This window comes from Homo sapiens, chromosome 2 (genome assembly GCF_000001405.40).
Source record: "Homo sapiens chromosome 2, GRCh38.p14 Primary Assembly".
NCBI lineage: Eukaryota > Metazoa > Chordata > Mammalia > Primates > Hominidae > Homo > Homo sapiens.
The window spans coordinates 224,901,352-224,926,507 of record NC_000002.12 but is presented as its reverse complement, the minus strand read 5'-3'; the positions used below and the strand labels follow the sequence as shown (position 1 = coordinate 224,926,507).

The following is a 25,156-nucleotide window of genomic DNA, read 5'->3' as shown; positions in this document are numbered from 1 at the left end:
CAGGCTGGAGTGTAGTGGGAAGTCACTGCAGCCTCAAACTTGGCCTCTCAAAGTGCTGGGATTACAGGCGTGAGCCACTGCACCCAGCCCTCTAACACTTTAGTGTACTTCTTCACTTACTCATTCACTTCCTTTCTGTTACTAGACAAGGGACAAATCAGTTCATATCTGTACTTCAAGTACCCAACACAATGTCTGATTCATAGGCATTCAATAGATTATCAAACATTGAATTAAAATAGTTTTCTTCCAGGTTGAGGGCCTGACACAGAAGCACTTTCCTTTATTTTGGCACACCAGGTAGAAGCTAGTCCTCCTTGTATGTGGGTTCTGGGACTAAGCAGTATGAACTCCTGCACTACATGTGTCCTAATGATTCACTAAAATAAGCAGTATTGATGTATTTATTAAGCCATTCATTGCAAAAACTTGTACTGCTTCAATAATTGTATTTGCTACTTTTTTTCATCTTTCTTTTTCAAGCTGGTAGTAATAGAAACTTTAAAACAAAACAAAAAATAAAGAACTTAGTCACCAAAGTGTGTGACTCAGTAAAGTGGCAAAGAAAGTAAGAAAAGAAAGCAAGGGCTAAGAAAAATGGTTTCAAGGACACATTGAATCATATTGTCAAATGATTCAGTTTAAGAAAAGACTGATGCAAAATAGCAGAAAAAAAGTTGAGAAAGTCAGAAATGAGTTTCTTCCTGAGCAAAAGATGTAGAAAGCCTGAGATGGGATCATTTCTGGGAAGTACAAAACCATAAATAAGAAAGTTCTGATGTCTGAAAGCTGGTAAGACTGTACACTGTGTAGGAAGACCACCTATCAACTATACTTCAATTTTGTCCACACCAGTAAAACTCTATTTCAATTTACCTTCATGGACCACCTTTGGTGATCTAAGCTGTTTATATCCAGGACACCAATACGAATAAGAAGCAGACCTTACACTTGAACAGTTAGACTTTCAACACCGGGCAGTGCAATTTTCAAAGTCAAAAGTCTATGTCACATGACTACAGTCACCTAAGAGTCTCATTATCTTCTCAAATTCCATCTTCATATTAGTAGGTCAGAATTGTGTCCCAGGGTACTCAAAGGCATTCTGCACTTTTCACTGGCTATTAAAACTCAGAATAGTGGATATCATAATATACCAATGGCTTGTTCTTTTCATAGTATGTCTTTAGCAATGAAAAGCAAATGGTATATGGGGACTTCTAGACTCAACCACAAGGGTCATTCTAGGAAAGGAAGCAGAAAGATTTGAATATGTTTTAAACTGCAAATCAGTAAGGTCATGAGTTTTCTTTCTTTTTTTTTTTCTGAGACAAAGGTTAACATTTTATAAGAATCTCAACCTCTTTTAAATCTGTGGCTTTTGAGCCTGAAAAGCAGGCTTTTAAACGGCTCCTGGTGTTCATGTAAGAACATTGTAATTTCAATTTGAAAACTGAGTAATAGTCTTTGTCGAATTAGATTCTTTCTATGTTATAATATTCCTCTCATTTACAAGCTAATGAAGTTAAGATTTGGAAAGGCTGTTGTTCAAGGAAATAGAGCAACTGGAAGGACAAACACCTAACATAAGCACCTTGACTTTTACTATTAGTTTCTGTCTAAACAGCATGCTTTTGGCCGACGCTTCTTAGAAAAAAAAGGCACACAAGTTGGGGGAAATATTAACTTCCTGAATCCCACAGTGAGTGATGCCATTAGAAAATAAGTACTGTAGTGAAACAGTTCTGGTTGTTTATTTCATTTCAGTAAGAATGTGTGTGGAGACCCTGGTCTGTGTTTGATTGTGCTAAGAATGTATGTCCACACCAGACTTGGACACAAATGTTCATAGAAGCATTATTCATAATAGCCCCAAAATGAGAATAACCCAAATAATCTATCAACTGATGAATGGGTAAACAGAATGTGGTATATCCATAAAATGGAATGTCATTATTATTCAGCCATAAAAAGGAATGAAATGTTGATACATGCTGCAATTTAGATCAACCTTGAATATATTGTATTAAGTGAAAGAAGCCAGTCCCAAAAGACCATATAGTCCACGTATAGGAAATGTTCAAAATAGGCAAATCCATAGAGAGAGAAAGGAGATTAGTGGTTGCCATGGGCTGGGGAGATGGGAAAATGAGAAGAGAATGCTAGTGGATATGGGGTTTCTTTTGGGCATGATGAAAATGTTCTGTAATTAAATCGTGGTAATGGTTGCACAACTCTGTGAATATACCAAAAACCACTCAATTCTATACTTTTAAAGGATAAATTTTATGACAGATCAGTTATATCTCAATTAGATGGTTTTTTTAAAAAGCCATTCTATGTGTTAGGATAGAGGTGGTGCACGTGATCACAGGAAGGATACAAAGGAATCATGAAAGCATATATGTAGATACGAGCACTTTATTCTTTAAAAGGAATGAATGGAACATAGCAAAGGAGTAATAAGGAACATGGCAAAACTTATTTTACAGTTGTTATATTTTACCCCCAAAGCAGATGTAATGTGGCTTGCTTATAAACAATAAAACACACAGGTAAAATGACCGGCTGAATTCATCAGCAGCATAACCTTTCGGCCTAAAATATTCTATGGGTAAGCTGCAGACTTCATGTGTGCTACAGAGAGTAAATAACAGCATTCAGGGAAGAAAAATGTGTGTTGGATGAATTAGAAAGCTTTTGAAAAGGAGCTGGCACCTATACAAAACCTGAGATTTCTAAAGAATGAGGAAAGAAAAAGACTTTTGGAGAGGCAGAGGAGCATGGGCAAAGGCCCTGTGCAGGAATGAGGCTGGCCCTGAAGGAGAAATGCGGGCAGCCAGGTGGGATGGAGCCGGTGAGAGCTGGCAGTGCTGGGCCGCTCTTCAGTCCATTTCTCTTCCCTAGACCATGTCTGCAGGCCTCGCAGCAGGCAACCCTCTTCACTGGGCTTTCTTGGATGGTAAACTCAGACCACAGACCTCAGAGTCTTTGCCAGGGGGAGGTCCTGGTGCAGTAGGTGTCTTTATATTGTTGGAGCACCTCGTTTCTATTAATGCTCACATCTTCCCATATGTAGAATGTTTGGTCCTCACCTCTTTAGAGGAGATGAGACATGTTTTGGAGCCTGGAAAATAAGTCACAAAAAAGAAGTGAAATGACTGGCTCAGTAGTTTGTCAATCCAAGAGTAAAACACCTTGAAGTTCTTCTTATAGGATTCTATCACTACTATATACCTAAATACTACAACACTGTGTCTTCATGCTTAACTTGGCTGGAATGACTGCTATCAAGTAATAGACAACTGTTCATTATTTGTATATTTGCCATACAGTTCAACCCCAGCAAAACAAGAAGGGCCTTCCCTTTAAAGCACAAGTCAGGTACTAAAGTAATATTCTCATATATTTAAACAATAAGTAAAATAAAATCACAACAATACTCTTCTGAATGTGGTAAAAGATGTTTTTCAAGAAACTAATGTAATCTAAGGACATTCTCTAATAGAATAAAAGACAATATCGATGTCTGAGAAATTTAGGTTAAAATCACTTTTAAACACATGCTGAGGGTCATTAATCACAAAGTTTTAGTTAATAGTTCTTATTGTGAGGCTTATAACTCCCCAAGCTTAGACTGATTGATTACTTTAAACACCATCATTTTGTCCTCCTTTTTGAACAGGGGGAAGCTACAATACTGTCAGAGGAAGCTTTTCTCAGCCCCAAGATAGGATAAGCAGCCCTTTTTTAGACTTTTACAGTGACCTTTGGCCAATTGAGAGATAGTCCTGATGTGCTTGGAAGGAAGTCTTCTGTAGCCAGTATAGCCAGCAGATTGGTGGCTGTAACGAAACCTCCAAGACCATCCACTGCAGGCTACAAGAAACCAGAAAGTGACAGGGCTGCAAGGGAGGATGTCTGAATCTCATGGACCTGAAACTATAAACACAGGCCTGCATGCATCATTTCAGGACAGTTTTTATTTCCAAATGCCTGATCTCTGGACAATAGATAGGCTCCTTATGAAATCCTACCACCAAAGGAGAAGCTCAGCTGAGTTCCACTGCAGTTTCAGATCCCTTTTATGCTATTGAGCTATACTAATTGTTGACCAGAGTTTTATAAAAGAGAACAGGAAATCTCTTGTGGTCAAGACAATTTGTAGTGGTCTGAAAGCATCTGATTCTCAGAAAAGAAAAAATTCTTTGTAACCATATTAAAACCCTTACCAAATATGATTGTTTACAGTTTTCTTTGTATTCGATCAATTCATTTTTGCTTCAGTGGAGACACATTAAAGAGATCTAAAATGAGAAGAAGTGCCACAGTTTTTAAAGTGGAAACTTGTGGAGTCCTTGCACTTTTTTTTTTTTTTTTTTTTTTTTGAGATGGAGTTTTGCTCTTGCTGCCCGGGCTGGAGTACAGTGGCGCCATCTCGACTCACCGCAACCTCCGCCACCCGGGTTCAAGCGATTCTCCTGCCTCAGCCTCTCGAGTAGCTGGGATTGCAGGCATGTGCCACCATGCCCAGCTAATTTTTATTTTATTTTATTTTATTTTTATTTTTAGTAGAGACGGGGTTTCTTCGTGTTGGTCAGGCTGGTCTCACACTCCCAACCTCAGGTGATCCACCCGCCTCAGCCTCCCAAAGCGCTGGGATTATAGGCATGAGCCACAGCGCCTGGCTGTCCTTGCACTTTTTCAGACAAATGCTCCAGCATTATAATAAAATACAACTAAGATCAATAGCACGTTATGGGCATACATCATACATGTATTCTCTTTCCTATACCTTGTGTAACCTGCACAGGATATTAGATATGCAATAACTGCACATATTGTAAAATAATGTTTTAGATTTATCACATGGTTCCAAGAGCATAATTCAGCCTGTTGTCTTATTTAGTAAAAAGTCAACATCATTTTATAACAAGAGACCACCAGGCATTGTACACGTGATTAAGCAATTTTTGTAACTCGGCCTGAATTAATTCGCAGTCTCATAAATTGGATGTGAACATTACCTTATGTATTTGGGGGCCTATCTAACTATAGGACATTACTAATCTAGTAGCCATGTGATTACTGTTATGGGGAACCCAAGCCTACATTCCAGAAACTTACCAATAAAACAAGCAAACAAACAAAAAACTTCTTAAATTAGCTAAGTGTTCACGTTAGTATTATTATTTATTGAAATGGAGTTTTGCTGTTGTTGCCCAGCAACATTGCTGGAGTGCAATGGCATGATCTTGGTTCATTGCAACCTCCCCCTCCCAGGTTCGAGTGATTCTCCTGCCTCAGCCTCCTGAGTAGCTGGGATTACAGGTGCCCGCCACCATGCCCGGCTATTTTTTGTGTATATACATTATATATATATATATATATATATTTTTTTTTTTTTTTTTTTTTAATAGAGACGGTGTTTTCCCATGTTGGCCAGGCTGGTCTCAAACTCTTGACCTCAATTGGTCTGCCCACCTCAGCCTCCCAAAGGGCTGGGATTACAGGCATGAGCCACCGTGCCCAGCCCACTTTATTTTATTATGTCACAGAGCAGTGATCGTAGTGGGACAGTAAGTTTACTACATAGATGGAACAGGGAGTGGTTGTGTCACATGCAAAATATGATGGAGCCAATTTGGATCTTATTATTTATGTTTTACTTAATTATAAGCTTAATTCTGGGCCATGTTACTCTACTCTCCATCAGACTTAAAGTATTTTTTTAAAAAGTCAAGAAAGCAATGGAGACTCTAGTGGAAAATGGAAAAGAGGAATAGCTTGCATTTTTGTATAAAAATTTTATTAATAATGGCCATAATATAGAATTTTTTTTTAATTAGAAAGAAAAATGTCTAATGTTCCCAGTAGATTATAATATGTAATATTCCCTGGAAACCAAGCAACACCATATATCTGTAAATTATCCATCCGAATAGGAAACAAAGGCATCCCAGATCATTTAAATTCAGCAGTAATCCCCAAAGCTCAATTTAGGCATGGTTCTTAATATTCTACTCCAAAACTTCAATATAGTTTATTTACTATTTATCTTCTAACAGAGTGAATAGCATAAAATAAGCAACTTGAAGAAGGGAACTCTAAAGGAATTAAAAATGTAAAATGTAGGCCAGGCACAGTGGCTCATGCCTGTAATCCCAGCACTTTGAGAAGCCGAGACAGGCAGATCACTTGAGTCCAGGAGCTGGAGACCATCCTGGACAACATGGTGAGACCCTGTCTCTACAAAAAAAAAAAAAAAAAAGTGAAAATTAGCCAGGCATAGTGGTGCGCACCTGTAGTCTCAACTACTGGGGAGGCTGATCACTGGAGCCCCGGAGGTCGAGGCTGCTGTGAGCTGTGATTGTACCACTGCACTGCAACCTGGCCAACAGAATGAGACCCTGTCTCAACAACAACAGCAACAAAAAGTAAAATGTAAATAATAAGATCCAAATTGGCTCTATCTTACTTTGCATGCAAAGCAACGGCTCCCTGTTCCATCCGTGGCACTATGCTTGCTCCCTGCACCTATGCCTGGTTTGAATTGGTAGCCACAGCCTCTTCTGAGTATACAGCTGCAGTTAAATCCTGGAGCAAGTGCAGTGGCCCAGGGAGCTCAGTCCACAGCTGTGCTTTAGGGCGAGCATTCATTTTCATCATTGATGTCTCTAGATCCTAGTTTTCTCATTATTTTTCATCCTCTGATCTTATTAAATCTACATGGCATTCTTCCTCTTTCACAGGATACAAACCCCGTGCTTCCCGACATGCATGTGCACATGCACACACACTCACACCAACACATCACACCCATTCACACGTGGACAGACACACGCACACTCTACACACACACAACACTCACCACACACATTCACACCACACATACACACTGACACATCACATTCATTCACACATGTACACACATACACATGCAGACACACTCCACACACATTCACATACCAGACACACCACACACATTCACACCACACGTACACACTCACACCACACATACACACCATCCACACTCACACTGACACATCACACCCATTCACATGTGTACAGACCTACACATGCAGACACACTCTACACACATTCATATACCACACACACCACATACATTCACACCACCTATACAGACACACATCACACATACTCATACCACACATACACCACACACTCACACTGACACATCACACCCATTCACATGTGTACAGACATACACATGCAGACAAACCTACACACATTCACATACCACACACCCACATACATTCACACCACACATACACACCACACACCCTCATACCACACATACACATCACACACATACAAACCCACCACACACCACACATACACACACCACACATATACGTGCCACACATACACATAAACTCACCACACATACATACACACACTCCCCACACACACACACCACACATACACCACACAGACCACACATACACTCACCACACACACCCTGTGCGTATATACATCACACATACACATACACTTACCACAAACACACACACCACACATACACACACACACCACACACATTCACACCACACATACACACCACACATACCACACACACCATACACACATTCACACCACACATACATATACACACACTCACACACGCCACACACACACCACACATGCCCACATTCACACCACACATACACTCACACCACACATACACTACCACACTCACATTACACATACACATGCACTCAAATGCGACACACTCATGTATACACACTAACACACATACTCATTGCACATACACACTACACTCAATTGCACATGCTCACAGACCCAAACCACACTCATACTCACACCATATACACACCACACACACACCACAAGTACATACATACACACACCCCACATACACACGCACCACACACACTCATACCACATACACATACACACTCACCACACACACTCACACATATACACATTCGTCACACACTCTAACACTACACATACACGCACACCACACACACACACACCGCACCACAAACTCACCACACATGCTCACATAACACATACACACACCATACGAACACACGCACTCAAATGCAACACACTCTCATGCACACACACTCCACACACTCATTGCACAGACACACCCACCCAATTGCACATGCTCACACACACACACCCCACACACACTCATATATGCTCCCACACACTCTCATCCTCTTATGGAATACACATGTACACACAGTCAATAAATTCAACAAAGAATCATTTAGGTATCCAACTAGCACTGAGGTTATAAGTGAACAAAATAAAATGTCCTGCACTTACATCAGGAGTGAAGAAAGGAGAGATTTGGAGAAAATAAGAGTCCAGGATTGGAAGAGAAGGAATGATGGGAAGGACGCCGCCCTTGGTGGCAGAGCTGCCAGCAAGGTCTGTGAACTCGGAAGACAAAACTCCCTTGACCCCTCCCTACCCATCTTCTCCAATACTGAGGATGGGTTTGGAGATTCTTATCTGTTCCAACAGCTAATCTAGAGCAGTTTAAATGAATAGCTGTGATTTGGGGGATGTGCAATATACGAGATCTCAGCTGTTGGTACCATGGATGTCACAGACTCATCACCTGAGAATCCCTGTAACTACTGAGGTGCACAGACTAAAGGAAGCAGATGGCTGGAAGTGGAAACTTGCTGTTTTAGGGCATTTCATTCTCCTGTGCTTCATGGACTGAAGACATATAAGAGGCAATAATCTATGAAATTCTGTTTGTGATGTTTTGTTTTAAGAAGTACTTTATATATTAATTAACATATATTCATTTAAAAGAATATTGTTTATTTAGCATGGAAGTTGAAAAAGTTTTCTTATTTCAGCAAAAATAAAGACACCAAAAACACAACCTATTTTTTTCAAGGTTCAGATTTACTAAACACTCCTTCTTCCTTCCCACCCCTAACTACAACTACATGTGCACACACAGGCACACGCACACACGCACAGTTAGCTTCTAAAAGGGACTGTGTTTATCCTTTGATATTTGAGATTATTTACGATATTATTAAAATAATGCTGACTTTGTAAGTTTTCTTCTTCATTTCAAATTTATTTTAGCCTTAGCAGCAATAATAAAAAAGATTCCACTTTGGGAGGCCGAGGCGGGTGGATTACCTGAGGTCAGGAGTTCAGGACCAGCCTGGCCAACATGGTGAAACCCTGTCTCTACTAAAAAATACAAAAATTAGCTGGGGGTGGTGGTGGGCACCTGTAATCCCAGCTACTAGGGAGGCTGCAACAGGAGAATCGCTTGAACCTGGGAGGCGGAGGTTGCAGTGAGCCAAGATCACGCCATTGCACTCCAGCCTGGGCGACAGAGCAAGACTCCGTCTCAAAAAAAAAAAAAAAAAAAAAAGATTCCAATAGAAATCAGCTAAATTGAAAACATATAGATGCCTAAATTTTTGTTTTCTGCAAAGGGGGAACAGCTTAAAACTATGAGCTACACTAATAAAACAGTAACTGTTGTAAAAATACTAGTACTGGTAATCAAATAAATGTCCACATCTTCTCTCCTAGAGATTAAATTGGGAAGAACTACAGAAGTGTCTCTGTCTTCTGTTAACTTTAAATACTAAGATCTAAAAGACTTCCCTTTTGTGTGTTCAGTGTGCTGGTCTGCTCGACACTTCTAAGCCGGAGGACTCAATTTCTTTTCATTGTTCGTTTCAGGCAGCCACAGTTTCCTGGGATATCCGCACGTTGTACTCAACAGTACCTGAAGATGCAGAGCACAAGGCAGAAAATTTACTGGTTAAGGAGGTAAATGTGATGCTTCCAATGCTTTATTTTAAGGCTTTTGCTTTTTCCCAGGGGATTCTCAATGCAATTTACTATTATTATCTTCCTGTCATTTTCAATAGATAATTCCAAATATTCTAACTAGTGGATGTCTTTTTTTTTTTTTTTTTTTTTTGAGGGAGGGTGTCACTCTGTCACCCAGGCTGGAGTGTGGTGGCACCACCTCTGCTCACAGCAGCCTCCGCCTCCCAGGTTCAAGCAATTCTTGTGCCTCAGCTTCCCAAGTAGCTGGGATTACAGGCACACGCCATCACACCTGGCTAATTTTTGTATTTTTAGTAGAGACAGGGTTTCGCCATGTTGGCCAGGCTGCTCTCGAACTCTTGACCTCAAGTGATCCACCCACCTCAGCTTCCTGAAGTGCTGGGATTACAGGCATGAGCCACCGCGTCCGGCCATGCCAGGCTAATTTTTGTATTTTTAGTAGAGATGGGGTTTCACCATATTGGCTAGGCTGGTTTCAAACTCCTGACCTTAAGTGATCTGCCCACCTTGGCCTCCCAAAGTGCTGGGATTACAGGCATGAGCCACTGTGCCCAGCCAAATGGCCAGATCTCATGTGAACTCAGAGCTAGGGCTCATGTATCACCAAGGGGATGGCACAAGCCTTTCATGAGGGATCCACCCCCATGATCCAAACGCTTCCCACCAGGCCACACCTTCAACATTGGAGATTACATTTCATCATGAGATTTGGGTGGGAACGCATAGCCAAACTACATCAGGGACTGATAGAACATCTCTGGGTATAGCATTGACTTGCATTTTATTGGTGTATAAGAGGCCTACAAAACAGCTTCTTTCTCTTCTAACCAGACTCCAGGCAGCTTTAGAGCAGGAATTGAGCCAGTGCATAGCAGCTACTTAGCAGATGTTTACTGAATAAATAAATGATGCTTATCCTTTCCTTATAGAAAATATGGTGACAAAATTTAGCCCAGCACAGGTCAAACTGAAAGTAGTGGAATCTAAGTTCAGTCTTGAATCCTGAGAAAGTGGTGTGTCCCAACTAGGAATTCATTAAAGCTGCATACGATAGCAATATCTTTTCTCGGCTCTTAACATATTTATGTTACATAAGCTAGCCTTATTAATGTACATATTAATACAAATATGACTGTACATATTTTCTGTTGTACTGTTCAGTTCAGATCATTGTTTTATCGGTCTTTTTTTTCCCAATTCCATTATTTTGAATGTATTTCCCAAAGTTCACATTGCATTACAATACCTTTTAAGGAGATAGAAAAAAGAAAAAATGCAGACTCAGATAACATCAGGATATCTGAGAATACTGTTTTCACATTTACTGATAAAAATAGTGTGTGATATCAGTATGATAATATTTTGTTTAGAGTTGCCTTAGAGAAAGTCTTAGCATACAGTAGGGTGTCACTATTCTTTAAAAAAGTTGGCAAATAATTTTTTATACCAGACAATCAGACTTATTCAAACCAGGTCTGCAATAAATATGTGTTAACTTAGGCAGGATTTGACATTTTTATAACATTGACTTCCTAATGGGGAAGTTTAACCAGGTCTTGTGCATTCTTCAGAAATACATTGCATTTTCTTCATAAAGATCTTTAACTTTGTTGTAAAATTTATTCTAAGGTCCTTATAACTTTGTCACAAATCTGAGTGGAATTTTAAAACTCCATTTCTTTTTCTTACTGTTAATTACTTAATGAATTAATTCTTACTGTTAATTACTGATATTTTTCAAAAGCTGTTGATTTCCTAATATGAATAACTAGCTTGCTAAACTCTTATCCTAATAGTTCGTATTTAATTTCTTAGGTGTGTAGGCGTAAACAAGTAAAATTTTCTTCTTTTCTAATAAGTATATTGTTTCTTTGATTTTTATCTTATTCTATTATTTTATATCCCTAAAACAATATTGAATAATAATGCTAATACCAGGCAATATGTCTTTTTCTTGAATTTAGGGGGAGACCTTAGTATTCTTTCATCCTTTATGAAAGATGGTGTTTTATGTTCGTTTCTGGCGTTTCTTTATTGTGTTTTAAAAGGTGTCTCTCTATGAAATTTTAGAGTGTTTATAAAGACTGGCTGCCCTGTTATCACATGCATATGCGTCCTATTAATACAACAGCTTTTCTGTTTTAGTTAGCACTGTAATAAAATCAATGGGCTTTTGTCCTGTGGATCCCTACTTGTATTTCTGGTATAAACTTTCTACTTCAAGTTGTATTATTACCTTAATACCGAGTTGCCTTCTAATTGTTTTTACTTTATTTCAAATTTTGGAGTTTATATTATGAGTGAAATTTGGCTCTTGTTTTCTTTTTTCCTTTCCTTAGAGAGATGCTAGCTTTAAAAAATAAATTGGGGCACTCTACATCTTTTTCTGTGTTCTGGAATGAACAAATAAACCAGTGAAACAAAAAATACCTAAAACAAATTTAAGTGCATAGTATTATTTAAGAAATAGTAAAGATGGCACTTCAAAGTCTCTGGGGAAGAGTGGCCAATTCAACAAATACTACTCAACTATCCATTTTGGAAGAAAATAAAGTTGTGTCCATATCTCATATTACATACAAAAATAAATTCCAGATGAAAAAAAGAATCTAAGTTTTAAAAACAAAGGTTATAGGCCGGGTGAGGTGGCTCATGCCTGTAATCCCAGCACTTTGGGAGGCCAAGGCAGGCGGATCACGAGGTCAGGAGATCGAGACCATCTGGCTAACATGGTGAAACCCCGTCTCTACTAAAAATACAAAAAAAAACCAAAAAATTAGCCAGACGTGGTGGCGGGTGCCTGTAGTCCCAACTACTCAGCAGGGGGAGGCCAGAGAATGGTGTGAACCTGGGAGGCGGAGCTTGCAGTGATCTGAGATTGTGCCACTGCACTCCAGCCTGGGCAACAGAGGGAGACTCTGTCTCAAATAAATAAATAAATAAATAAATAAACAGACAAACAAACAAAATAAAAACAAAGGTTATAAAAATGTAGGAAAACATTTTTAAGTGGGAAGTTAGGGAAAACTGACAGATTTAACCAAATAAAAAATTAAAATTTGTATATGACAAATGTACAGTACCATACACAGAGTCAAAATAAAATATTTAATCAGAGAAATCATTTGTAACTCATTATGTCTTTTGCTGAACACACACACTCACACACACTCACATATAAATACATACATTCCTAGTATTCAAAATCCTACAAATTAATTTTTAAAAAGACAAATAACCGGAGAAAATATGAGCAAAAGATATGGCCAGGCTGCTTAAAAGAAGAAATGCAGTAGGCTAAGAGACATACAAGGTTGCTCAGCCTCACTAGTAGTCATGGAAATAGAAATTAAAAGAATAATTTTAGGGAAGAAAAAATTTAAGATAAATACCATTTAGCAATAATAACAATATAGTGAAAGAAACACGATCACATGATGTTTGAAATACTCACATCTGTAACTTTTGAAATGTAATTCATAAGACATATATGCTGCATTGGAAATTTTGAATTATCAATTAATAAGGGTGAGGCTAAAATTTTTTCACATTTATATTTTGTAATAATATAAAACAAATAAAAAATTATATCTATTTAAATAGCTTAGTTTTGATGCCCATGATTTTTTTTTCTTTCTTTTTTGGAGATGGAGTCTTTCCTCTGTCACCCAGGCTGGAGAGCACTGGCACGATCTCTGCTCACTGCAACCCCCACCTCCTGGGCTCAAGCGATTTTCCTGCTTTAGCCTCCCAAGTAGTTGGGATTGCAGGCGCCCACCACCATGCCTGGCTAACTTTTGTATTTTTAGTAGAGATGGGGTTTCACCATGTTGGCCACACTGGTCTCAAACTCCTGACCTCAAGTGATCCACCCACCTCAGCCTCCCAAAGTGCTGGGATTACAGGCGTGAGCCACCATGCCCGGCCTGATGCCCATAATATATTGTTAGGAGAAAAAAGCAAGTCACAGAATTGTAGTATGATATCACGAAAGATATAAAACCTATACATATATACACAAATATGTTTATATAAGGCTAGGAAAAGTATAAAAGAATGCACACATCAAACTCATAACATTGGCTACCTCACAAGTTTGGGACTCTAGTGGGAGGGGAGAGATTGATTTTCAACTTATATAATTCTCTTCTGTTGTGCTATTACACATAAATTTTGTAATTTAAAAGCTATTTTGGAAAAAATTAGTTAGAATATATTTTTAGTAGAGATGGGGGCAGCTGGGCATGGTGGCTCACTCCTGTAATCCCAGCACCTTGGGAAGCCGAGGCGGGTGGATCACCTGAGCTCAGGAGTTTGAGACCAGCCTGACCAACATGGTGAAACCCTGTCTCTACTAAAAATACAAAATTACCCGGGAGTAGTGGCACATGCGTGTAATCCCAGCTATTTGGGATGCTGAGGCAGGAGAATCACTTGAACCTAGAAGGCGGAGGTTGCAGTGATCTGAGATCGCGTCATTCCAGCCTGGGCAACAAGAGCAAAACTCCACTCAAAAAAAAAAAAAAATGTATTTTTAAATGCTGCCAGAATTGGAAGCAACTGAAGCCTGTTGCCTAAACTTGTCTGCAAAAGTTAAAAATCCAACATAATTCTTCAAGTCATTAGATAAATACCTAAAAGACTACTTCAGATTCTTTATTATTATTATTATTGTTTTAGTTTGCTGATGAAAATGGCATGTGGAGCACTCAAAATCTCATGCGTGTCTTGCTTTAGGATTCCATCTGTTGGGCTTGTCTTTCTGTCATAGAAGTCAATTACATTCAGCAAACATAGTCCATTATCAGTTGTTTTTAATCCAACTACAACGGATTTATAAATGTTTCTATCGTTTTAGGAACTTTTCATTTCATGGTCCTTTTGCTCTCTTTGGGGGTGTATACGGCATTTGTATATTTCCAGCTTTCAGCAGTTTCCAATTGCTCTCACATGAACAAATGTTCCTAGCTTGTGGCTCTGAGTCTCTAGAACCCAAGGCTTTCAGAGCCTTGGATTTGGCTGCCAGCCTCCTTCAGCTCCTGCCTATTAACACTGCCTCATTTTATTGCCAGGCATGCTTTCAAGATAGGGGCCAGTTAGCCTGAACTCTAAATTCTGGGACCATTCAGAACCTTCACCCCCAATCTCTAGATCCAACCAAGTTTCAAGTGTAGCTACTTTTCCAGGGGAAAGATAGCATGAAAAGCAGATAAGTGGATCCATACAACACAAGAGACTTCAAAGGACTATTCTAGGGTTCCCAGAGGCCTTCAGTTTTGCTTGTGCTTCAAGAGCTTCTACCTCACAACTTCAAATGTCCAGATAGATCTTTTCATCTATCCGTAGTTCTCTGAGAATGTCACCTTCAGCTGAGGACAAGTTGACAACAAAATTTGCCTTTATTTTATTATTGCTCCTTGGGGGAAATTTCTCACCTTCACTTTTGTTCCCACCTTAATTCCCTTTCAACTGCTTGTAGACTTCTTTTCTCTCTTGTACCTCAGCGTCTTACTTCTCTAAGAACTGCTCCAAGGAGAAACCAAGTAGAGTGCCTTTCGCCCTAGATCCCAAATATATGCTAAACTTTTATGTTGCAAAGCTCAGGACAGAACATTCAACTCTCTTGGGCAACATGAATGAATCTTCTTATCATATTTTTTCTCAACTGTATGGATCTAAAATAGAAAAAAAAAAGGGAGAGAGAAAGGAGGAAGACTGGGACAAAACTACCTTATTCCCTGCTAATTTTTCTGTGTCACTAGTACTGAAAACCCTGCAAAAACTCCCATAGTAGTCCTTGATTTTAAGGATAAAGATAAAGTGAAACCTGTGCTTCATAGGATGGGAAGAAGATAAGCCCTGCTTACAAATATCCCGTGATGATAATGGAACATGAATAGTCAGGCCTGGAGACAGCAGATAAGAAGAAAGAGGTCACCAAAGAGCTGAGCTAAGACTGGGAAATGGTCCCAGAGAATTACACTGCAAAAAGTCTTGACCCCAATTGCTAATAGCAGCTAACCTTTATTGACTGCTTACTTTGTGCCAGATACACTTCTAAGCCCTTTACTTGTAGCAATTACAAACATATGTTTGTTATTATCATCATTATCACCTTTTAATAACAAGGAAACTATGTCATAGAAATATTAAGAAACTTGCCCAGCCAGCATTAGACAACCAGGAATAGACAGATCCAACATCTGGACACATGCCACCAGCTCCGTCCCTGGGCTCCTAACTGCGATGCTAACTGCCAATAGGGTGTTTTGCTATAAAATTGCTATGTTCCTCTGGAAAGAAAACTTCTCTGAGTCTTCACCCTCACAGCCCCACTGTGGTTTCTGCTCAGGTGACTCTGATGCATACAGTCAGTGGGCCACACTTTCAGGAACATTGGCTGGATTTTTGAAACTAGATTATGCTAGCACTGAAATGAATTCATTGACGTTTGTAGAGCTTTGTAGAAACACTTGCTTGACCTACCACAAGTGTATTAAGCAACGTTATTGGTCCACCCTGTGCTACATTGCCCTGCGGCTCACTGTGGGGTGGCAAGGGCAAATACCATGGTTGCTAGGCAACAGATTGGCAAGAATCTAGTTTCAACACATCCAGCTCAGTAAAAAATTTGAGTTTTCTCTCACTGCTCTCTACTTTGACAATTCTCAGCTTCTCATGAAAGGCATTAGGCATTCTTTTCTTTTTTTTAATCTTCAATGACATCATATTTTAATGGAAGTTCACTAAAATGAACAGCTTCTTCCTTTTCTGTTTTATCTGTTATTAATTCTCCTCCCTATCTCTTAAATGTAAAATTAAACATTCCCCACACAAAAGCATAGGCTTATTTCACATCCATTAAAACACTGCATGTTAACATCAAGCTCTAGTTGAGTACACAGTTGCTTATACATTGTGTGTATGTGAAAACTTTTGAGAACTCTGTGAAATAGGTATTACTACCTCATTTTGCAGCCTAGAAAACAGGCTCTGAGTGAATAATGAACTCGCCCAAGTTCACACAGAGCCAGAATTAAGGCTTTGCTATCTTTGACATAATATTCCATGTTCTTACACATTTTATTGTCTCTGATCCTTTGATAAGTTCCTTTATACCACATGCTCACTAGCCTGACTGGATGAGGGTACTTCCACTCCTCACAAGGGAACGTATCCTTCATTTTGGCAAACTATTAACTTTTCTGCCTTAGTTTTTCCATCTTTAAATAGGGATATGAAAAATCCTAATGCTGTGATTCTGAAAATAAATATAGCAATAGTATGAAAACACTTGGAAAACAACTACTGGAGAGCATTGTCTTTATCTGAATCTGCTTAAGTGGCTTAAAATGAACATCCATAACCATAAAAAATATCTAAACACTTCCGTGATAAAACAAGCACCACTCCCACAAGGGGTTTGAGGAGGAGAGGGGGGCAATTAAAGTGATCTAGAAATAGGATGCAAACTTCCTAAGCAAAACTTCTATAACGAAGCTTTTATTTTAATATACACAAAGGGATCATATAAAGTTGGAAGAAAGCTCAGCATACTAATTAAAACCAAGCTCTTGGTTCAGTCTCTCTTAACAAAAGGAGATGAGGGAGCAAAGAATTGAGAACAATACAGTGGCTCAAGAGGGAACAAAGGTCTAGGGACCACTTCAGCTGAATGGCTGAGAGAAATACTGACAAAGTACTAAGGTAGCAAGTTACTCTGACAACAAAGCCCTCTCTGATTTCTGAAAACCAATGCTGCTGCGGGAGTAGAATAATGATAAGTGAGGAGACTTCATCCAAGTCTCATTTTGATCATGGCATAAAACTCTTGGGGACTTAGGAGGTATGATAACATTGAAAGAACAGAAGCAGGCTGGGTGCAATGGCTTATACCAGTAATCCCAGCACTTTGGGAAGCCAAGGCAAGAGGATCACTTGATCTCAGGAGTTCAAGACCAGCTTGGGCCATATAGTGAGACTCTATCTCTAAAAAAAACTTTTTAATTAGCTGGGCATGATGGTGTGCACCTGCAGTCCCAAATACTCAGGAGGCCGATGCAGGAGGATGGCTTGAGCTCAGGAATTTGAGACTGCATGACTGAGCCATGCGTATGCCACTGAGCTTCAGCCTGGGCAACAGAGTGAGACTCTGTCCGTAGAAAAATAAAAAAGAATAAAAGCAAATACTTATCTCTACAGCCACATCTACACATGTACACACACACACACACACACACACACACACACACACAAACGATGATGATTATGTACTGTCTTCATCCAAATAGTACTAGGCTACCGGGGCAAGGAAAAGTTCAGATTTTAAGCAAGGGGTTCAAACCAGAAATGAATTCTGGAAAGGAAAAAACAAAAATGAAAACAGGACCCAAGACTAAATGGTAAATACAAATATGATTTAAGGCGAAGTAAATGTTGTTGAAATCTCTAGCTGTCCATAAAAAATACACACACACACACACACATACACACACACACACACAACTCATTTAAATCAGGGCAGAAGCCAACTTTATGTAGGCACAGAACGTTCGGCAAGAGGCTAGGTCTGCACGATGTTCCTAAGTGTCTCACACACATAGAAACATACACACACACACACACACATTCAGAGTCTTTAATTAGCTAATATCCATCAAGACTGTCTTAGAAGGGGATATGAAATGAAACATTTCTAAAATGTATTTGACCATGTAGAAATTCTGTCCATTTTTCTCCAAGTATCTTTAAGAAACACCTTTGAGAAATGCTAATGTAAATGTGATCCAAGGAGATCACCAGAAACTAGAGGCACAATGTAGTTCAAGTAAAACAGAAATCAACAATTGGGTGAACCGGCATGTGCATTTCATTCAGGCTGATTCTAATGCAGAAAAAGAAAATATTAAACCCTCCAGGAGATCAGATAAATTAGTTGTTTTCTTTTCATGGCCAAACCTCTATTCTTTTTTTTTTTTTTTTTGAGGTGGAGTCTCGCTCTGTCGCCCAGGTTGGAGTGCAGTGGCGCAATCTCAGCTCTCTGCAAGCTCCGCCTCCCTGGTTCACACCATTCTCCTGCCTCAGCCTCCTGAGTAGCTGGGACTACAGGGGCCCGCCACCACACCCGGCTAATTTTTTTGTATTTTTAGTAGAGACAGGGTTTCACCATGTTAGCCAGGATGGTCTTGATCTCCTGACCTCGTGATCTGCCCGCCTCAGCCTCCCAAAGTGCTGAGATTACAGGCGTGAGCCACCGCGCCTGGCCCTCTATTCTTAATTCTTACTGTTAGCATCGAAAATGTCTACCTGTGTTCAGGGAGGTCATGCAATTCTAAGACACAATTCGGCACAAGCCCCAGTGATGGTAGTTCTATGTACTTACCCTCATACAGCAAATTATAAGTATAAATAATGTTACTCTCAGAGTTTGAAGTAATTAACAATGATCATAAATGTCAGTGTAATACTCTTTTAGCCCTTAAATTTCTCCCTTCATTCCCCTACCTAATTATCAGATTAGCCTTTCTCTTGTCCTAGGGGCAACTGTGAATCCGGTGGCATAAACGAGGTATATAAGACTCTGCTAATTGCAATTCAGTTAGGTGGAGCTAATTATCTTTACAAAGAGTGAAATTTACATAGAAATTTCTTGTCCCACTGATTTACTGTTACTACAGATCACATTGTGTTGAAATTATGTGATAAAGAGAATCAACCATTGGATGAAAGATTAGAGGAGGTTCATTATCCAACATGGGCTTAACCACTGGCTAAACACAGTCCCTGCCCTCAAGGTGCATACCATCAGGCAAGAAGTTACAGACCTCTGATTAGATTTCTACGACACACTCTGACAAGTACCCCCTGGAGTATACTACTTTAAGATAAACAAGGCCGGGTGCGGTGACTGACGCCTGTAATCCCAGCACTTTGGGAGGCCAAGGCGGGCGGATCACCAGGTCAGGAGATCAAGACCATCCTGGCTAATATGGTGAAACCCTGTCTCTACTAAAAATACAAAATAATTAGCTGGGCATGGTGGCAGGTGCCTGTAGTCCCAGCTACTCGGGAGGCTGAGGCAGGAGAATGGCGTGAATCCAGGAGGTGGAGCTTGCAGTGAGCTGAGATCACACTACTGCACTCCAGCACACTGCACTCCAGCCTGGGAGACAGAGTGAGATTCCATCTAAAAATAAATAAATAAATAAATGAAGATAAACAAGGTCAGGTTTGCCTGTCAGAAGAAACAACTAAAAGCATACCAGAGTATGGATTGGTCGGCTTGGGAAGGAATAAGATTGAAGAAAAATTGGACAGATAGAAGACTATTTGTTTTAATAGTCCAGATGCATGATTACAAAGAGCTGTACTAACAGATAGGAGACTATTTGTTTTAATAGTCCAGGTGCATGATTACAAAGAGCTGTGTGGCTATGCGATTGTGGTACTGGTAAAGACCTATTAAGGAGATAGCATTGACAGGAGTTGGGGACTGAAAATAAAGTAAAGAAGAGGAATGTGTTTATGATGACTCCCATAATTATGGCTTGGGCTATTACCTAGATGGTTGTGCCATTCATTTAAATAAGGTGCCCAGAAGAGAGTGAAGATTGCTGGAAGGATGAAGCAAAGAAGATAACCTTATTTGCCAACATGCAGAGAGAGATCCAAGAAGAAGATAAATACATAGGTCTGGAGCACAGGAAAGTGTGGGCAGTTACTCTAGATTTGAAAATTCAAGCTTTAAACCTGGAAGAGTATGCCCATGAACACCAGAGAATTGGGCTGGAACTGAGAAGGCAGGTCCCTGAGCCACACTCTCACTAAGGGGCAGGCAAAGAGGACCCTGTGTAAAGAATGGAGAAGGAGTGGGCAGAGAGGAAAGCGGGGAACAAGGAGATACCGATATCTCAGAATTAAGGAAGAAGGGTCAATAGCGAGAGAAAGTGCATCAATGGCATAAAATGCCAAAGAAGAATCAAGATGGGGGCTCACTGGATTTGGGTATTGGTGTCCCTTTACTTGCAAAGCATAAACCCACTTCAGGAATAAACCCAATAAAAATATTAGAATTCTTCAGGCAGAGTGCCCAAAGCATACCAAAGTTAAAAATAGTTCCATAGGCCGGGCGCGGTGGCTCACGCCTGTAATCCCAGCACTTTGGGAGGCCGAGGCGGGTGGATCATGAGGTCAGGAGATCGAGACCATCCTGGCTAACAAGGTGAAACCCCGTCTCTACTAAAAATACAAAAAAAATTAGCCGGGCGCGGTGGCGGGCGCCTGTAGTCCCAGCTACTCAGGAGGCTGAGGCAGGAGAATGGCGTGAACCCGGGAAGCGGAGCTTGCAGTGAGCCGAGATCGCGCCGCTGCAGTCCGCAGTCCGGCCTGGGCGATAGAGCGAGACTCCGTCTCAAAAAAAAAAAAAAAAAAAAAAAATAGTTCCATAGGCCGTTTATTGATCTTTAAATTGTGTACCAAAATACTGCTTAATGTATTGCAGAGCAAAATTCTGTAAACATGAAAAACAATAAGATCCAATGAGTATAATATTGAAAATGAAATCTCTTTGTCTTCCTCTTCTTCCCTTGCACATTTGGACTCAGACAAGTGGCATTTAATTAATTCAGGAGAAAATTATGAATATTCAAGATAAGACTTGCGTCCTAAACATAGTGAAGAAAATTACAGAGGAGGGGGAGTTGGCTATAATTTAAAAGTACTTCATGCTGCTCATTTTTAACTGAAAGAAATATATCTAACTAGAATGAAATTTATCTTGTCTCAAGAAAACATGGGGAATTTCTTTTTTTACTTTTATAGTTAAAATAATTCTATATGCTTTGTGTTTAATTTTGGACCACATATTATGTAAGCTGACAAAGAAACCATTCTTTTGACCAAAATGCCTTTGTTTAGTATGCTTCATACTAATTTTTGAATCTCATGTGTAGAATACTGTGCACTCACACTTGCCCATATATAAGAATGTCTCTTACTAGTTGATTTGGGAGAGTGGGTTGCATGTATAAATAAATTAAGTAAAAATGAATGCTGTTTTCTGATCCTGAAACACTGGGCAGCAAATGAATGACTCATATGTATTTAACTTTAGACCAGAGCACAGTTAGTGTGGAGTTTCTCATCCTAGAACTAACTCCTATAGTGTGACCTCAGGGCTATATGAACAATTGAAATTTCTACAGCATATTGAGAAAAAAATGAAACCACAAACGTTGCTTCAAAATTTTTAAAAGGTTACATTCTTTCTTAATAAAATTCATGTAGATAAAAATATTTGTATGTATGTTTTATTTTTATTTTGGTTTTGTTTTGGGGGTTTTGGATTTTTATTTTTTGAAAAATAAGGCTCTTCATTCACTAATGAAGGTCTTGCTGATGAAAATCTTGTTGGAAGTTAAGGAACTTTTTATTGGGTGTGTACTTTTTACAAAATAAATTTAAAGCCATGTTTATTTAATGACTTTAAAAATGTAATGGAAAAATTAAGATATTAAAATCTGTTGTCTTACATTTGGCCTAGATGTGTTCATATGTGGTGACTATATTCCTATCATGGCCAAAACAAAATGGATCGCCCCAATTTTTTTACACTAAATGTATAACACTAAAGGTAATAAATACACAAAAAATGATTAAGATAAATTCAAGTGCATGTATTATTTACTGAACTTAGGATAAAATATATCTGGAAAAACAGTTGAAAAATGAAAACAAAATGGTTACGTGTTTCACATTAAGAACTCTGAAGAAACTTATTTTCTATTCACTAAAATTTCTAGAATAATAGTCTTGTTTCCAAATATGAAAACCTCCTCCAACTCTAAATTGGCTTTCCCTTCTCCACAATAAAAATCCCCCTAAAATGTTTGGCAGTAAATCAGTAAAACACAAATGTACAAGTTAGAGGCTTTGGAGCATAAGAATAAAAAAGAACCCATTTTTAAGTTTGAACCTAAAATTTCAATTGCACTGAAAAATGACCCAGTTTTTATGCCTTACATGAGAGCAATGATTGGATCATAATAGTACCAAGGTGTTTTAGTACCATCCATCATTCATGTCCTGACAAATGACTTGTGAGATCTAGCTGGGAAATTACAGTGCATGTTCCCAGGTCAAAAAGTCTACTTTTATAATTTATTCAACTGCCTTAACACAGCACATTTTGAAAAGAGAAACCAAATATTTTGGTTCACTTTCAATTTACCATGAATAAAATACTGAATGAAAATTTAGGCTACTGTAGTTCAAAGCAACAAAATCGTCTTAAAATGATTTTCCCCTGGATTGGCCCTTGATATGACATTATATTTTACAAATGGGCATGCATGCTTATATATATTGTAACACCATCTTATATCAAGTAGTATTTTTTAAAAACCAGAATCAGTTAAATTAGATCTATTAAATTAGATCGTGCTGTGATTTCTGAAACTGAGACATTCTTATATTTACATTATTTATTTTGCCCAAATTCATTATTTGTACTTCTGCCTCAAGAGTGTGTGGTATAAGTTTTTTTGTTTGTTTGTTTGTTTTGTTTTGGTTTTTTGAGACGGAGTCTCGCTCTGTCGCCCAGGCTGGAGAGCAGTGGCGCAATCTCGGCTCACTGCAAGCTCCGCCTCCCGGGTTCACGCCGTTCTCCCGCCTCAGCCTCCCGAGTAGCTGGGACTACAGGCGCCTGCCACCACAACCGGCTAATTTTTTTTTTTGTATTTTTAGTAGAGACGGGGTTTCACTGTGTTAGCCAGGATGGTCTCGGTCTCCTGACCTCATGATCTGCCCGCGTTGGCCTCCCTAAGTGCTGGGATTACAAGCGTGAGCCACCGCGCCCAGCCAAGTTTTTAAATATTAACTGTTCAACTGGTTTGTATACTGCAGAAACTAATTATTACACTTTAAAAGAACACATGGTGTGATCTAGTTGAAGACCAAAAAAAAAAAAATGTTTTCAGTGCCTTTTCTCTTTTTCACTAAAATGTCAATGTGTTGGGTGACCCACACATCCTGGTTTGCAGGAACAGTCTCATGTTCTAAGGGTCAACCTTGCTAATAGTGCCTCTTTTCACTCTGAAATGTCTCAGTGTGAACAATAAATTATCTGGCCACTCTTTCAATGCATAATTTGCCTAAACTCAATTTCATGATGCTTCATTTTCAACATTTATACAATAGCCACAATTACTTCTCAACTTTATAAAGAACGGCATGAATACTAAAATTGCCACCATCGTTTTACAAATACAGAATTATTTCCAGTGGTGACTAAGGGCCAAAATGAACACCATTTATGCTTGCATTAATCTTTCTGGCAAGAACCTAGTCAGGTAATTAAATAAACCTCTATAGCCAGAAAGAAAAATAATTTTGCATCTGAAAAAAAAATGTTACTTGCTTATTACTATGTAGCCAGAATTCAATAATCAACCCTTTTACGAGATGAACAAATTGCATTGCCAAACCCAAATTGCTATTTGAGGTATGTAACATGATTTGAATTGATTCTAATGATTATCTGGAGCAGAGGAACAAGGAGAAAAATGAAATATTTTCTTTACAGCACCTTAGGGTGTTCTTTATAATAGCCCACTCATTTTTAAACATTTAGATTTTTAGAACTTTCAAAGTATCATTTGTTGTCATTTCCAGAAGAAAATGATACAGATGATCATTGATTTAACAAATAAATATTGAACGTCCACTATAAATAAAACCTCATACTGGAGTTGATATGTCCTTTTAAAAGGCTGTGTCTAGATGAGTGAAAACAAGAAGATAATTCCAGCTACTAGAATCCACTGTGTGAAACTAGGACCCCAAGGCTCTCCGTTCATGGTCAGACAAGGACTGGACCACATTATCACTCATGTGGAATCATGGAATCTACCTGGTGAAGTAGCAACATTTCTCTATGTCCTTCAGAATCACCTGTAGTACTTTTTACAATGTAGATTTCTTGGCACTCCCTCTAGAGATTCTGATTCCGTGGATCTCAAGTGAGACCCAGGAGCCTGAATTTTAATTATCCACTCCAAGGACCATGGACATATACGTTTTAGGAAACTCTATCCTCATGGCACAAAAGCCTTTGACCATGTTGACTTTGGCCTGCTTTTTGGTGTCTAAACACATACAGGCAGAGATGGCAAGCATAAAAGCTAACTAAGCAAACATAATAAATGAAAAAAGATGAGCCAGGACATCGCTGTTTGGAGTAATTAACCATCTCAGAAAGCTCTTGCTCAATATTCACAGCCTTTGCCTTTGAAGCTGACTGTGGCAGCCTCCAGTTGAAAGG

The 25,156-nt window shown here is 39.1% G+C and overlaps 1 protein-coding gene across 23 annotated transcripts in view; it reads left to right on the top strand.

The window, feature by feature from the left end:
- Positions 1–25,156, top strand: part of DOCK10 (dedicator of cytokinesis 10) — a 277,379-nt gene that overhangs the window by 115,961 nt on the left and 136,262 nt on the right. For all 23 annotated transcript variants that reach the window (XM_047444930.1, XM_047444929.1, XM_047444922.1 and 20 more), the window contains exon 3: positions 9,724–9,813. In XM_047444930.1, the coding sequence (XP_047300886.1) occupies positions 9,724–9,813 (90 nt within the window). The remainder of the gene's footprint in view (positions 1–9,723; positions 9,814–25,156) is intronic.